We start from the raw sequence: 15,894 nt of genomic DNA on the forward strand, positions 1-15,894 counted from the left end.
TCTGTTTCTGGCTCTAAACTCTTGTACACTCTACAAGTCTTCCTCTATAGCTCACCTCTTTTCCTCCTCTCCAATCCTGTAACACCACAGTGTGAGGCTTTGGTGTTGAAATATCGCTAAGTCTACCCTTGGAGGAGGCATTCAACCACTGTCCCAGCAAAGATCCCACTTGGCCTCCACTATTGGTGAACCGTCCACATGCTCGTCTCCCTTTCTTCCTTGCTAACAGGACCCTGATCCTGATTCCTTTCCACCCCTCGGGGAAGGGCACTGACCTCAGGCTCAGGATGAATTCCAATTTGCTCATGTCAATCTCAGCAGTCCCATTCCTCTGGCCAGGGATTAACTTTCCGCACAGCAACGTGATGAAGTTTGGCCAAGGAGACATGGAGAAGGCTGGCAGGCTTATGGACAAGGTTTCTTCTTTCTTAAAGAGAGATATAGGAAGAGACCTCCTCTCCTTCCTCTGGACATGGTCAGGTCTCAAAATGATGACCAGGAACAATGAAAGCATCTTGCAACCACCAAGGGAACCAGCCTAACATTCTGAAGACGGCAGAGCAAAAAGATGGAGGGAACCTGGACTTCCAATGTCATCTCTGAGCTACTGAATTAGCTAATCCTAGAGTCACATATCCAGCAACTTCCTGGGGAGAGCCCAACCCATTCTTCAGTTTGTGAACATCTGATCTCACACGCAAAGGTCATCTCCACTGATAAGTAGTGAGTTTCCGTCACTAGAAATGCTCGAGGAGAAGGAGGAGGCAGAGAGCAGAGATTTCTGTCCTTTAAAGGGTGAAGTCTGCATAAAGACCTCATCCACCCAAAGTTTCCAAAGAGCCTACCTGGATAAGGAAAAGCCATTAAAACAAACAACTTGCACCTGATTTGTTGAAAACATAAAGTATTGCCACTGTCAGATTGAAAATTGTTTTCCAGGAATGTAGTAGGAAGAAAGGGATGCAAACAAGATAAGTAGCTTCAAGAATTCAGATGGCTGTTTGAAAAAATGCTAAGAAAATTCTATTCAGTGTCAGGTCAGAAAGATATTTCAGGCTGACACCTTGTAACACTGTGATATCAGAAGACCACTGCAAATCCACACCTCTGTATCACCTTAGATGTAAAAGAGATATTGTTAAATATCTACTTGAGCCCTTCCCAAAAAAAGGATTTCACAGAAACCCAATCTGACATAAAATGATAATTCTGACCCAGATCCCCTTATGGTCTTACACAGTCAAGCATAAAGCAAACTGTTTCATTACGGACAATTTCAGATCACGATGCCAGCATTATTTATTTGGTCCACATCTCACATTGCTTTGTCACGTTACTCATTTTTTGTGGCCCTGTCTTCCCTCTCCAACCAAGCGCAATGTCCCTAGAGAGGCAAAATCATACCTGAAGTACACGCTGGAATCTAGGCTCTCAGTAAATGAAAGGGCTGAATGGCCAGAGTAGGACCTAACACCTTTCCTTCCTTCCTTAGGTGACAAAGACAAGAGGGAGTGCATGGTACTCCTATTAAAATCAATCAGCTAAAGACACTAAATATTTAGATTCAAGTGATGAGGATTAAACTGTAATCTTAACACTGATTTCAACGTTCTAGACATACAATCTGAGACTCATTTATTTCTTCAGCCAATATTTAATGAGCTCCTGTAAGTGCAAGGCATTAAAATAGAATAGAATGGTATCTGCCCTACAGTGCCTAGCCTAGCAAGATTAAGTGAACTTTAATGTGATCAATTCCATGTTAGAGGTATAAGGCAATATGTGATTTTGTGAAAGGTGTGATTATTTGTGGCAGGGCAAATCAGGGTAGGCTGTATGTGCCTTGCACATAGAAGATGCCCAATAAATGCATGATGGATGGATTGATGGGGTGACATTTTGTAGGCTTTGAAAGGGGTGTCATATAGTCAGAGTAAGGGACAGGAGATTCCAGCCAACAAAGCCACACAACCCAAAGCAAAGGGATCAGGAAAGCATAGGACGTGACCTGGGACCCTACGGCTGGAACATCAGGTCCACTGGAGCATAAAGCTAGAATGAAACCAGGGAGTGGAGGGCCACAAGTGGCCCACCAGCGTGTTCAGACCTTGTCTGATCTAGAGTGCCAGATGCAGGGACTGCAACTCGACAAGTCAGCTAAAAGAAAACCTTAGAAACCTACTGCATGGGATGAAAGCAATATTTATCATACACTCACGCCAGCCTGGGGTTGAGTGCTTTTTAAAAATGAAGTAGTCTGGGCCAGTGGCTCATGCCTGTAATCCTAGTGTTTTAGTAGGCCGAAATGGGAGTATTGCTTGAGCCTAGGCGTTTGAGACCAGGCTGGACAATACAGCAAGACCCCACCTCTACAAAAAAACTTGTTAAAAAAAATAGCAGGGTGTATTGATGCATGCTTATAGTCCCAGCTACAAGGGAGGTTGAGGCAGGAGGATTTCTTAAATCTAGGAGCTCGAGGCTGCAGTGAGCTATGACTGTTCTACTGTACTTCTGCCTAGGTGACAGAGTGAGATCCTGTCTCCAAATAAAATAAAAATGAAATATTTCAACAAATATAAATAAAAGGTAATAATATTACAAGGAGCACATGTACACCCACTCAGCTTTGACAAAATTTAGCGTTTTGCATAGTTCTACTTTCAAGAAATAAATTACTTAATGTGCAGTAAAACCTGTCTTCTCCGTCATCTTCCCCTTCCTGGAGGAGCCGCTATACTGAATTTTTTGTTAATCAATCCCATGCATATTCTACTATTCTTACTAGATATATACTTATTCATATGCACACACATAAACATATATAATAGTTTGTTTTAAAATTTTATGGAAATGGTTTTGTACTGTAGATATTCTACGTTGTTTTGTTCACTCAACTTTTTTTCACATTTATCCATGATGACACAAATGTGGCTTTAACAGTTGGACAGTATTATAGTATTCTATTAAATGAATATTTGCAATTTATCCAGTCTCCTTTTTATTTTCCCACACAGAGTCTTGCTCAGTCACCCAGGCTGGAGTGCAGTGGTGCAAATTATAGCTCACTGCAGTCTCAAAGTCCTGGGCTCAAGCGATCCTCCCACCTCGGCCTCTCACGTAGCTGAGACTAGAGGTGTGCACCAACAGGCCCTGCTGAGTTTTAGTTTATTTTTTGTAGACATGAGGTCTCACTATGTTGTCCAGGCTGGTCTCAGATTCCTGGACTCAAGTGATCCTCCCCTCTCAGCCTCCCAAAGTGTTGGGATTACAGGTGTGAGCCACTGCACCCACTTCCAGTCGCTTTTTAATGGTTTTTTTTTTTTCTTAATTTCCAGCATTTTTGCCACTAAAAGCAATGTTGGAAAGGATAGTCCTGGCAATGACACCAGCAGATGGTAGGTGTCTCAAAGAGAGTAAACCAGTTTACATATTCAGCAGCAGTATGCATTATTAGTGCTTGACACACTTGCCTGCATTTTATGCCATATGATAGATATGAAACAGTATGTTATTGTTTTAATTGCATTTTTCTGGATTGCTAATAAGGTTGAACATCTTTTTATATACACCGATCTTTTGATTTCCTCTTCAGAAAGTGCCTGTTCATATTTTTTGCCCACTTTTATAAATTGGGTCTTTTTTTCCTTATTGGGTTGAAGGAGGTTCTTTATAAATTCTGAACACCAATCTTTTGTTGGTTCTATGTCCTGCAAATATCTGCCTACCATCTGGGGCTTATCTTTTAAGATTGTTTTTGGTGTTCATGTGTCCTGGATATAGTTTTATTCCTAACTATAATTCATGAAATACTTGCAATCACCCCATTTGATAGATGAGAAAACTGATCCTGTGTGCTACGTTAACCCAGCTGTAATGGAAAAGAGGCACAACTCGAGCCCAGGTCTCTATAACCTTTGCTTCCTCCAAGTTCTCTTCTAGGCCATCCTCTCTCTTAGGTGAGAGGTAGGAAAGCATGTCTGTACCAGCAGGTGGCACCAGGAATGGCATGAAAGGAACCAAGCAAGGGCTATTGCTAGAGAAAAAGCAAGACAAAGGCCTGGAGTGGTGGTTCATACCTGTAATCCCAGCACTTGGGAGAGACAAGGTGGGAGGATCGCTTGAGTCCAGAAGTTTGAGACAAGCCTGGCTAACACAGTGAGACCCCATCTCTACAAAAAACAAATTATTTATAAATTAGCCAGGTGTGGTGGTGCATGCCCACAGTCCCAGCTACTTGGAAGGCTGAGGTAGGAGGATCACTTGAGCCTGGGAGGTGGAGGCTGCAGTGAGCCAAGATTGCACCCTGCACTCCAGTCTGGGCAACAGAATGAGACCCTGACTCAAATAAATAAATAAATAAATAGATAGATAGATAAAAAGATAAAGAAAAAAGAAAAAGAAAAGAAAACTCAAGAGGAATTGACTGATGACTGGATGCCAGTAGCAAGGACAAAGAGAAGGCTGTGTCCAGGCTAGGGGGTCCAATGGTACCATTAAAGATGCAGGAATAGGGGAGGAGGCAGTGGGAGTTGGTTTTACATGTGCTGCCCTGAGATGCCGGTGTTAAGTCTTACAGAGGAGTTAGAAATGTGGAGCAGGACATTTGGAAGCCATTTGCAGTGATGCCCTGCAGCCGTGGGGCCGGGTGAGTTACCTGCATGTGAAACTGAAGAAACTGAAGCCCAGCTCTGGTGGCCCCAAATCCATCCTGCCCATGGGACTGTTCAAGTCCCCCAACACCTCCTCTCATACTCACTTTTCCTCCTTTATCTGACACCCAGCACAATGCCAAGGTCATCGTAAGCATTCAATAAATATTTGCTGAATGAATGAAAAGCGTTATATTTCTTATACAGATCCACCACAATCTCTTATGCAAAAACCCTGCGGTTCAGAATTTTTTCGCCCTTAGAAAAGTAATCAAGTGTAACACACCCACTGGGGTCAAAGGTACAACTCCATTCTGCAGTTAAGCATACAAATGTTCATAGCAAGTGAGATAAACAAAGAGTATAAATAATCTTAAATTACATGAGGTTGTGTTTTGCTGCCAAATGACCTCATGCCAAACTTAAAACTTTCAGGTTTGCGATAAGGGACTGTGAACTCATTGCTTTTAAAATTCTTCTGACAACTCAAGAGTAAGAAATGTATTTTTCACTGCAACTCATTGTGCACGCACACACACACACGCACTTATGAATGTAGAAGTGAGCAAATGTTTTAGCAAATAATACATATCCTTACAACCTTGGAAGCACTATGGTACTTTTTATTTTACTCATTTTAGTTTTAGAATTCTGGTTGCAACCCATTATATGGAGTTTGCAGCCCAAATGGAACACTTTGACCTGAGACTCCCCTCTAGGTTTAGGGGGGTAGGTGAGGACCCTGGCTGGAAAGATCTGATGCTCTGGAAGCCATGATGTGAAAGCTCTGCAGTGGGGACAGGGGGTATCCCGGGTGATAAAGGTTAGAAAGAGAAACTGCTGATCTCACGTTCGTAGGGAGCTGGCCATGGTCCTGCCCTGCAAACAAGAGCCGGGAGACTGCAAGAAAGGCTGAGTAAAGCCCAAAGAGAAACTCTTCCCCCTGGATGATGATCAAGAACCTCATTCTGCCGGCTTCTGGAGGAATCTTGGCCAGAAAAGAACTCAGAATCCCTTTCAACCTCTTTCAATTTTTCTGGTCTGCAATAATCAATAAATAGGTTTCTCGCCATGGAAGACTGGAGCAGAAAGGGGCCTGACAGACCAAACCATCCAACCAGTCAGTCCGCCTCATCTTACAGCAGGCCATGAGGGCCAAGGAGACCTGGAGCAACTGGCCCAGGACCCCCGCTGAGGGCCTCCTGCCCACCATGCAGCCCTTGACTACCCACAGTCGCCAACCCTGCTCCCCAGCTTGCTTGCTTTTCTTTCTCTTTTCTTTTTTCTTTTCTCTTTCTTTCTCTTTCTTTTTCTTTTCTTTCTTTCTTTTAGACGGAGTTTCACTCTTGTCAATCAGGCTGGAGTGCAATGGTGTGATCTCGGCTCACTGCAACCTCCACCTCCCGGGTTCAAACGATTCTCCTGCCTCAGCCTCCCAATTAGCTGGGAACACAGGCGTGTGCCACCATGCCCGGCTAATTTTGTATTTTTAGTAGAGACAGGCTTTCACCATGTTGACCAGGCTAGTGTCGAACTCCTGACCTCGGGTGATCCGCCCACCTCGGCCTCCCAAAGTGCTGAGATTTCAGGAGTGAGCCACCACGCCCAGATCTTCCCCAGCTTTCTAGCCCAGCTTTTATCTCAAGTCAAAGCCTCACCCACTGCCCTTAGCACGAAGATGGCTATGCAAGAAAAACTTTTCTGCGAGCAGTTCTGGTGCTTCCCTGCTCCCCGCACTCCACTGTGGGTGGCGTCTTGTGCCAGCAGCACTTAGTGCCCGGCCACATCCTTAGTCTCTTAGTTATAATAGCCAGATGTTGGCAACATGGTCCTTTTCTTCTTCTTGAAATTCTCTAAGATGCCTTCAAATTTAGTTTAAGTATTTTATACTTAAATATTGGAAAAGGATATAAAAACTAGTGAATAACTACTTCAAGTCACGCCTATCTTTCCCTTTTTTCATTTCTTATAAGAAATAAATGTACTCTCTATAATTCAAAATTTACCCTTTATACTTCAGGGTCTTTACATTATGTAATTTTTTTTGTTTGTTTTTTTGAGATGGAGTCTCGCTCTGTCGCACAGGCTGGAGTGCAGTGGCGTGATCTCGGCTCACTGCAAGTTCTGCCTCCCGGGTTCACGCCATTCTCCTGCCTCAGCCTCCCAAGTAGCTGGGACTACAGGTGTCCGCCACCACGCCAGACTAATTTTTTGTATTTTTAGTAGAGATGGGGGTTTCACCGTGTTAGCCCGGATGGTCTCGATCTCCTGACCTCATGATCCACCCGCCTCGGCCTCCCAAAGTGCTGGGATTACAGGCGTGAGCCACCGCGCCCGGCCTTTTTTTTTTTTTGACAGAGTCTTGCTGTGTCGCCCAGGCTGGAGTGCCGTGGTCATATCCTAGATCCACTGAATCAGAAAACGTTTTTTAAAAAGACTTTCCATAAGCCCACAAACTTACAAAGGAGCAGAGCCAAGTTGCACATGATATATACATATATATGTATGTATCTCGGCTCACTGCAACCTCTGTCTCCGGGGTTCAAGCGATTCTCCTGCTGCAGCCTCCTGAGTACCAGCGATTACAGGTGTGCACCACCATGCCCAGCTAATGTTTTGTATTTTTGGTAGATAAGGGATTTCACTATGTTGACCAGACTGGTCTGAAACCCCTGGCCTCAAGTGATCGTCCCCCTTCAACCTCCCAAAGTGCTGGGAGTACAGGCCAGAGCCACTACACCCGGCCATTATCTACTTTTCATTTGGGGGCATTTGTAATTTCCCTCTCAAATGGATCAGAGGACCTCAGAAACAGAAAGGGACTTCTCCTGGGAACCCTCTGTCTCCCAAATACCCCACTTCAAATCATCCACTGCAGTGCACAGACTGGGGGCTGGTGGGACCGACATCGATGGAGTGGTTACTAGCAGCCAGACACTAGGCAGATGACCACACCTATCATCCTCACAGACCTCTGGGGTGGCATCAACGTCAGCATTGTCAATGTCATCATCAGCATCATCATTTCTGAGGCTCCAAGATTCCCAAGTTACTTACCCAAAGCCCAGGCCTGCCTGCACCTTCCCTCTCCTCTCCTGCAGACTGACTGCTGCTTCTTTAAAACACAGAATGCCACTAAAAAATAGGCTGAAGGAGGGAGAGCATCAGGAAGAGCAGCTAGTGGGTGCTGAGCTTAATACCTGGGTGATGGGATGCTCTGTGAAGCAAACCACCACGGCACATGCTAACCTATGTAACAAACCTGCACATCCTGCACATGTACCTCTGAACTTAAAGTAAAAGTTGGAAAGAAAAAAAGTAGGCTGATACAAAGGCAAATTTCCTTATAAAATCTTTAACGAGAAAGCCTGCAGCTCCAGGCTAGAGAAACAGGGATGTATTTTCAATATTAACTCATGAGTAGCGTTCAAGTTTGTGCAAATACGTAAGTGGACATTTTTGGTTGACTTTCTTTCCCCAAACTGCAAATATTATCTGCAAGGTCAACCCTCCATCTCAAATGAGATTCTGCTATATATCAAACAGCAATGAATCTTGGTTTTAAGAATTATATGAATGTAAGGTATTCTTAAATATATTGTATCTTCTAAGTTTTTTCTTTTTAAGAAGCTACTTGCTGTAGTGTTAGTAACACCTAAGACAAGCATGAGAATCAGCATGGAAGTCAGAAATGATCACATGCCAGTCAAATAGGTAACACTGACTTGTGAGACTGGTGCTTTTAGGCACCAGTGCAATTTTGCAGGGGCTCCCCCAGCACACACTGTTCTGAATCTCCTTTCTTCTGGAAGCTAGAATGACAGCCTGATTCTCCTAGTGAACAGATGTACTGACTGTGACAAAACGCACCCGCCATGCCAATAAATCTAATGAGTAACTCAAGCCAAAATATATATGTATATATCATGTGCAACTTGGCTCTCCTCCTTTGTAAGTTTGTGGGCTTATGGAAGGTCTTTTTCAAAAACATTTTCTGATTCAGTGGATCTGGGATATGACCCAGGCACTGGTAACATTTAAAAGCTCAAACGGGTGATTCTGATGCATATATCTGGTTAAGACTAGACCACATTTAATTCATGGTTGTATGTTCCTCAAAACACTTGCTGCCAATTAGTAATTCCACTGTTTTCCAATTAAGTCTATGATTAAAACTAACTTTAATTGTCATTTTATTTTTGGATTGGGAAGACATTTTTAACCACAAGAGCAGAAGAAAGCATAAAATAAAAACTTGACAAATTTGACTAGATAAAAGTAAACTTTTCTGAATGTCAAAAATGCTATCAACAAAGCTAAAGAATAAATGAGGGAAAATATATGTACCAGTGACAAAAGTTAATAATTCATCCAACAGATATTTTTAAAATATCTTTTGAATTGGTGATTCCACTTCTCAGTATTTACCCTAAGGAAATAAGCAGAGATGTATACAAAGATTCAGTACAAGGATACTTCCTTGCAGCATAACCTATTACATAATAAGAAACAGGCTAAAAGTTCATCAGTAACAGATGCCTGGATAAGCTGGCATGCATCCATCTGATGGAATGCCAACTTGTCAACAAATACTTTTAAATCTTATCTCAAAATTTGGTGGAACATTCAAATAGTTTTACACGGAAGAGTAGGTTACAAAACTTTAATAATAAAAATAATTTTACAGTTTCCTTTAATTTCTAATTTTTTGCAGTGAACATGTATTATGTTTTTAACAAAACACCATTAGAATACTGCACAACGAAGGCATTGGTGTATCTGAACTGAATAAGGTATCAGACGGATCAAAGCTTTCCATGCTACCATTGCACTCCTCAGTGGCAAATGCTTGGAAAAGGAAGATGGACCGATGTTAGTCAAGCAGCCTTTTCCTGGAAAAAGTAACCATGAGAGTCAAAGGCCCCCATGAGGTCCACTTTGCCCCACATCCCATCAACCCAGGACAGGCAGGCCTCCTGCCAACAGCTGGGTCCTTGGGCTCCAGCCGACAAAGTCTACAACTGACTTCCATGTTGGTGTCTTCTTATCTTTGTATTGCAGTTTTTAGCTGTTTTTCAACAAATACCATATGAAGAATATGCATACTCAAGACCTCACTGAATGTCACCCAAACACCAAATGAAAATCTAGCTGGAATGAAGACATTTGGTTTCAGGATGGCAGATTCTGAGAGATTTCGCCCACTTGCATATGATTTGCACATCCTTTGTACCATCTGATGAGAACGGTGTGCTCCATCAATCAATGCCACTGAGTTCTCAAGTTTCAGTTCCATCCAGAAGATGGAAGGTTGCCTAGAGTCAAGTTAAATCTGATTTCCTCAGAGATAGTCAAGTAAGTTTGTCATCAGCAACAGGACACTTGCCATCTGACATGGCAAGGCTAAGAACTCTCATATAGACTTTGTCTCCTTAGCCCACTTGGTCCCACTCATAAGCCCTCAAGAGACACAAAGTGATAATAAAAGTATTTGTGTATTTTCCCCATTGGGTTTCCAGAAATGTCATTTTCGTCACACCCTCCCACTCACCACTTCTACATTCAGGATGCAATACTGCAGCCAGAGTTGGTACAATGCAAACATTCCACGAGAAGTTAGAAAACTTGGGTTCCAGCATAAACTTGAGCAATATGCCACTTTGAACCCATTTTCTTATGTGTAAAAGTAGATAATACCAGCACTGCTGAACACACAGGGCAATATTTTCTTTTTTTTTTTAAAAAAAAAAAGGCAATAAATATTGGTTAAAAAAATTATACAGGCTGGGTGCGGTGTCTCACACCTGTAATCCCAGCACTTTGGGAGGCCGGGGTGGGCGTATCAACCGAGGTCAGGAGTTCAAGACTAGCCTGGTCAACATGGTGAAACCCCATCTCTACTAAAAATACAAAATTAGCCGGGCGTGGTGGTGCACACCTGTGGTCCCAGCTACTTGGGAGGCTGAGGCAGCAGAATCGCTTGAACCCAGGAGGCGGAGGCTGCAGTGAGCCAAGATCACGCCACCGCACTCCAGCCTGGGGGACAAGAGCTAGACTCCATCTCAAAAAAAAAAAAAAAAAAAAATTATACAAATGTAAAGTATTACTAAATACATCGTAAATTCTACAGTTTTTTTTTTTAAAGCTATTTGCTATAGTGTTAGTAACATCTAAGGCAAGATGAGAATTCACGTGGAAGTCAAAAATAATCACATGCCCATCAAATACGTAATATCAACTGGTGAGACTGGTGATTTCTGGGAACCGGTGCAATTTTGCAGGGGGGCTCCCCCAGCATACACTGTTGTGAAAGTTGTTGGCAAGCTAGAGCCTTGCTAGGCTCTGCAGTTTACAGACCAGCAGCACTGGCTTCGACTTCCGGCTTGTTAGGAAGGCAGAATCCCACGACCCACTCCAGAAATACCGAATTGGAATCTGCAATTGAACTAGATCCCCAGGTGACTCTCTCACACACACACACGCACTCACACACGCACAACACACACACACGCATGCACACACACATGCACGACACACAGGCGCGCGCGCACACACACACAAAGTTTGAGGACTGAGCTGGAGGCCTGTCAATCCTGGTAGCATTATTTCTAAGAGCTGGTACGTGAGCAAGAGGACCCAGTGGACTCGGTGAACTTGAGGTCCTATTTTTAGCAGTCTCGAGTTTTTCCTGACGCTACTAATGCTGTGTGTACTTCTCACTCACGGAATACGAGGTGTCAGAAAGCACAATTTGGAACTGTATCTTGGTAATTTCACAACTGGGACAGGAACTCTTGTCTCATCAGAACTATGCCGAAAAGCTTTCTCCATAGGCTAGGATGACTATGTGGTCATGCATGTTTGAATTATGTTCCTGTTTCCAATTAAATATCCCTTACAGAAAGGTTCAAGGTACCTCTTTTATAGTATGTGGAAAGTTTATTTTTGAATAATTTATTTATTGCTTGCACAAGTGATAAGAACCTCTTAGAAATCTTGTTCCCTTAACTATTAGTCTATTCACATTCTTGGACGAATAAAAAGCTTTACTTTCTTTTGAATCTTAAGTGGGGCTAGGAGGGAGAAATACAAATTCTGTTCTGTTTCAAAAGTTGGTTTTAAATAGACTTTGCATCTTGGAAACTTCTGGAACATTCCCCCATGGAAAAAAAAATGATTATTAGGTTCTGAATTGAGCTCATGTAGGTGTAACATAGAAAGGGGTATTAATAAGAATTTTCTTTATGGGTATAGTCTAGGAGAATAATGAGCTTCTTCCCCCTTCCCTAGCCCCTGGGCACCCTCAACGCCCCACCAGGTAGGCACGCTGTCCATTTTCGCCCTCCTCTGTCCAAAAAGCAGCAGCTGCCACCTCCCTGGGAAGAGGCAGGCACCCTATTACAGCTCCCGCTCCACTGAACCACATCTCCTTTCTTCAGATCTCTTCTCTTAGCTGGGTACAGCAGGAGGGCAATCGTCCAACCAAAGTCACATCGAAAATCTGGAAGCTTGGCAAGGCTGTCCAGCTGACTTTTGTCACCCTGGCCTCTAACACAATAGCCACACCATTGCTGCTGCCCAATAAATACCTGTTAAATGGCTGAATCTACTAAAACATTTTTAAAAGATGATGCTTATCATTAGCACAAGTCAACCTCCAACTGGGGGAATTTTAGGCTCTGGCTTCAAGTGAAAATTCTGGGAGAGAAGGGGCTGGAGGCAGGAATGGCACTGCTGGGCAGGGCAGCCCTGCCTGGAGAGCGAGCTCTGAGATCAGCTCCTCTCTTACAGTCGCTGGATTTTTTTCATAACTCCTTTACTTTCTTTACTTCTAAATCCACATTCTTTAAAATCTCCAAGTTTCCTTGCAACTCCCTAGGCAAGGGCAATGAAGGATTTACTCATTCACTCGCTCAAATATTATATAGGTATTGAATTTCTAATGTGTCTCACGCATTGTTCTAGGTCTTGAAAAAACAGCCACCAACAAAACAAAGCCCCTGCCCTCCCTGAGCATATATTTAGCGGAGGAGACAAAACTATAATGTGAGGTCATGATGGAGGTGATGAGGAAGTTAAGGGAGACCATGGCAGAGGTGCCACTCTAGACAGGCTGGGCAGAGCCCTCTCTGCGGAGGAGACAATTTAGCAGAGATGGAGCCATAAGCACATGGGGAGGAGCATCCTAGACAAAGCGAGCAGCAAATGCAAGGGCCCTGAGGCACGGGGGAGTAGGGCACCCTAGCGGGTTGGGCGCTGGGAGGGAGAGGGGGTGCAGCCAGTTTAAGTAGGGCTCATTTTTTTTCTTTTCATTTTGTTTTGTTTTGAGGCAGGGTCTAACTCTGTCGCCCAGGGTGGAGTGCAGTAGCACAATCTCAGCTCACTGCAGTCTCGACCTCCCCAGACTCAGGCGATCCTTCCACTTCAGCCTCCCAAGTAGCTGGGACTACAGGCATAAGCCATCATGCCGAGCTAATTTTCCGTATTTTTTGTAGAGACGGGGTCTTGCCACGTTGCCCAGGCTGGTCTCGAAATTCTTGGGCTCAAGCAATCTACCCACTTCGACCTCCCAAAGTGCTGGGATTACAAGTGTGAGCCAATCCACTTGGCCTCATTTTTAAAAAAGAATAGAATTTATGACTTCCACCTAATCCAAGCCTTCCACCTAATGGGACACGGAGTCCTTAATTAAGACTTTGTGTTCCACTCATTGTGTTTAGTACGCAATGATTTAGTCTACAAACTATCGTGAGATCTTATGACCACGAAGTGGCTGGGAGGATGGCACGGATAGAAGGCCACCACTGAGCAACTGTAAGTGTGCAAGTCCAATCAGACCACTTCCAGAAGGTGCTTTCCCCTACAACTAAGACAGCATTCACACTTAACCCTTGTAGCAACTTCCTACACTGAGAAACACAACAGAATTTTGCTGTATGATTCTCATCTTCTCAGAAAAATGTGTTGTCTCTTTGATCTGCCTAATTAGGCTAATTGAACTAGGAATCAAAGCAGTTTCTGGGGAGGAAGGTAGGAAGTTCTGTTTTTAGTTTGGCTATGATTTGTCCCAATCATTTTATGCTACAAAAGCTTTTGTTGGCGTTGGCCTCCGAGTCAGTGCTTTGAAAGGTGGCCGCAAATGTGATTTATGGGAAGGTGCTGCCGGGGGCATGCACTTTATGGGCAGGTGGTGCCGGAGGAAGTGGTTAGGAGACAGTTTCCTCACCCATCTCCTGGAGAGACCTCCATCTCCCTTACCCACCCTGCAGTGGTACCACGCACATCGGACGAAAGAGGCTGTCGCTAAAACGCTTTGAAAAGCATACACACGTGCACACACACAATGCTCACGGGTAGTATTTGCAGTACAGAATTCTAGTACTGTGCACCTCAGCTACAGACATCCCAATTTTTGAAAGTGTCCATAATTTATAGCAAGAGATATTTGGGTAAGTGCAGAAATTATACACGAGAGTCATTGAAACTGAGTTTATAAGAGTCAAAAATTGGAAAGAACCTGAATAACAAGAATTGTAAACTGCTGGACTTCCAGCAAGAGGGAGCTGGTTATATTCATGCAGAGCGGCCTTGAAAAAGATGCCGTGATTGGATAACGTACACTGTACACGGCTGAGAACAAAGGAATCTGAAATGACAATGAATGGAGTATTAGCAGCAGTGACCTAGTGAATTTTGTTCTGTTCATTTTTGTGCACTCTCTAAAATTATTTACAAATTATGTCATTTTTTATGATAAAAAGTTGTCTGAATTTTGGAAAAACAAGGATGGAGAGATGGAAGACAGGAAATTTTTACTAACCACCTTCTCTTCTGTTCCTCATCTGCCAGAGATTAAAAACTGGGAATCCACAAGAGCCAATGAATTTTCCCCCTCCTTGGTGGAAACTCTCACAGGAGAGAAGTCCTGGAAGATGGAAGTGGCCTCTCCTGTGCAACTCTCACTCCTTAGCATCAAGTTTGCAGCCCTCCGTGATCTGCATTCTAAGCACCCTTGCATTTGACCCTGCTCACCATTCCTCATGCTGTTTAGTTTGTGGGTTTATCTCGGCCTGGAGTGTCCTCCTAAGCCCTTTAGGGATGTGGCTCACCCTTTAAGGCCCCATCTAGAAACGCTCTCCTTCCCTTACGGACCCGCCACAATTTTAGTGTTGTATCTTGCAGTCTAGTTTGTTACAATCATGCCCACCTCCATAAATAATGTCACGGATGCCATCTGAGAAAGAGGAATGACAGCGGGAGAAACGAGGAGGATGTGTCCAGCAACATTTAGAAACAGCGAGGGCTTCTGGATGGGTCCAGGAGTGGCTGGAAAAGCAGTCACTGGCTGAAAAATTTCAACAGTTCTTTTCTTCCTTAAGACAAACCTGTGGGTCAATCCCAACTGACATAAACATCGTCTTTTTCACATCTTTTCCCCTGCAAGTTCGTCTTGGAATACTGAGACCTGCCCTCCATCCCAGCCCAGCATCCCGAGGACTTGCCTGCTCTTTCCCATGAGCTCTCCCATATTCAAATTCATTTATGCCGTTAGTTTACCGCTGCTAGAATGGCAACTCCATGCTTTGTGTCTTTTGCTTCCCAAGAGCCCAGAACAGTGCCTGAAGTCTAGTAAGCATCATCAATGTGCAAAAATAAAGAATTTACTTAAACATTATGTCCAGCTGCACTGTGCTTCTCAAGTTCCCCTACCGAATAGCTCTCTGAGAAGACAATTTTGCTGTACTCTCATTCTGAAAAAGGTGGGGACAGACAGGAAGCAAGAATGGAAGGGGACAAACACCAATTGTTGAGAAATGTGATCTTTTCAATAATTCAGCAGAACCTAACTCTATGGAAAATTCTGCCCACTCACAACCGGAAGCCCACCGAGGCACCAGTGTAAGTGTGCTAAAACAGTTTCGTGCCACTGAAAGGCTACTTCAGCATTCAAAGTTTCCATCAGGCAAGAGGAAGATGAGGAGGGACAGAGCTGACATGGGAAGAGTTAATGTGCAGTGCTCAGCATTCATGAAAACCTAGAGAGAAACCAACACTGCCTGTCCCTAGCTCAGAACTGGCTGCATTTGGAGGATTTTCACCCCATCCTTGGACACTTCCCTTCCATCACTGCCTTCTTATTCTTGCTCTGAGTTTCAAACCTATAAGGTGGTCATCAACCTCATGAGGAAAGACAGCCAGGAAGGTTGGAGGCAAAGACCAGGCACACAAAGATTAGAGAAACGGC

General features: G+C 43.7%; 1 protein-coding gene across 2 annotated transcripts in view, besides 1 other annotated feature; it reads right to left on the reverse strand.

Annotated features, from left to right (window-relative positions):
• The window catches only part of XKR6 (XK related 6), a 305,789-nt gene that overhangs the window by 191,050 nt on the left and 98,845 nt on the right, over positions 1 to 15,894 (reverse strand). The window lies entirely within an intron of this gene.
• Positions 5,442 to 5,531: a silencer, noted in NCBI's record as "silent region_18921". NCBI's record gives its function as "represses an Ori minimal core promoter by ATAC-STARR-seq in GM12878 lymphoblastoid cells {active_cell/tissue: GM12878}" and the evidence as "EXISTENCE:reporter gene assay evidence [ECO:0000049][PMID:35858748]".

The sequence above is a fragment of the Homo sapiens genome, chromosome 8, assembly GCF_000001405.40.
Source record: "Homo sapiens chromosome 8, GRCh38.p14 Primary Assembly".
Classification (NCBI taxonomy): domain Eukaryota; kingdom Metazoa; phylum Chordata; class Mammalia; order Primates; family Hominidae; genus Homo; species Homo sapiens.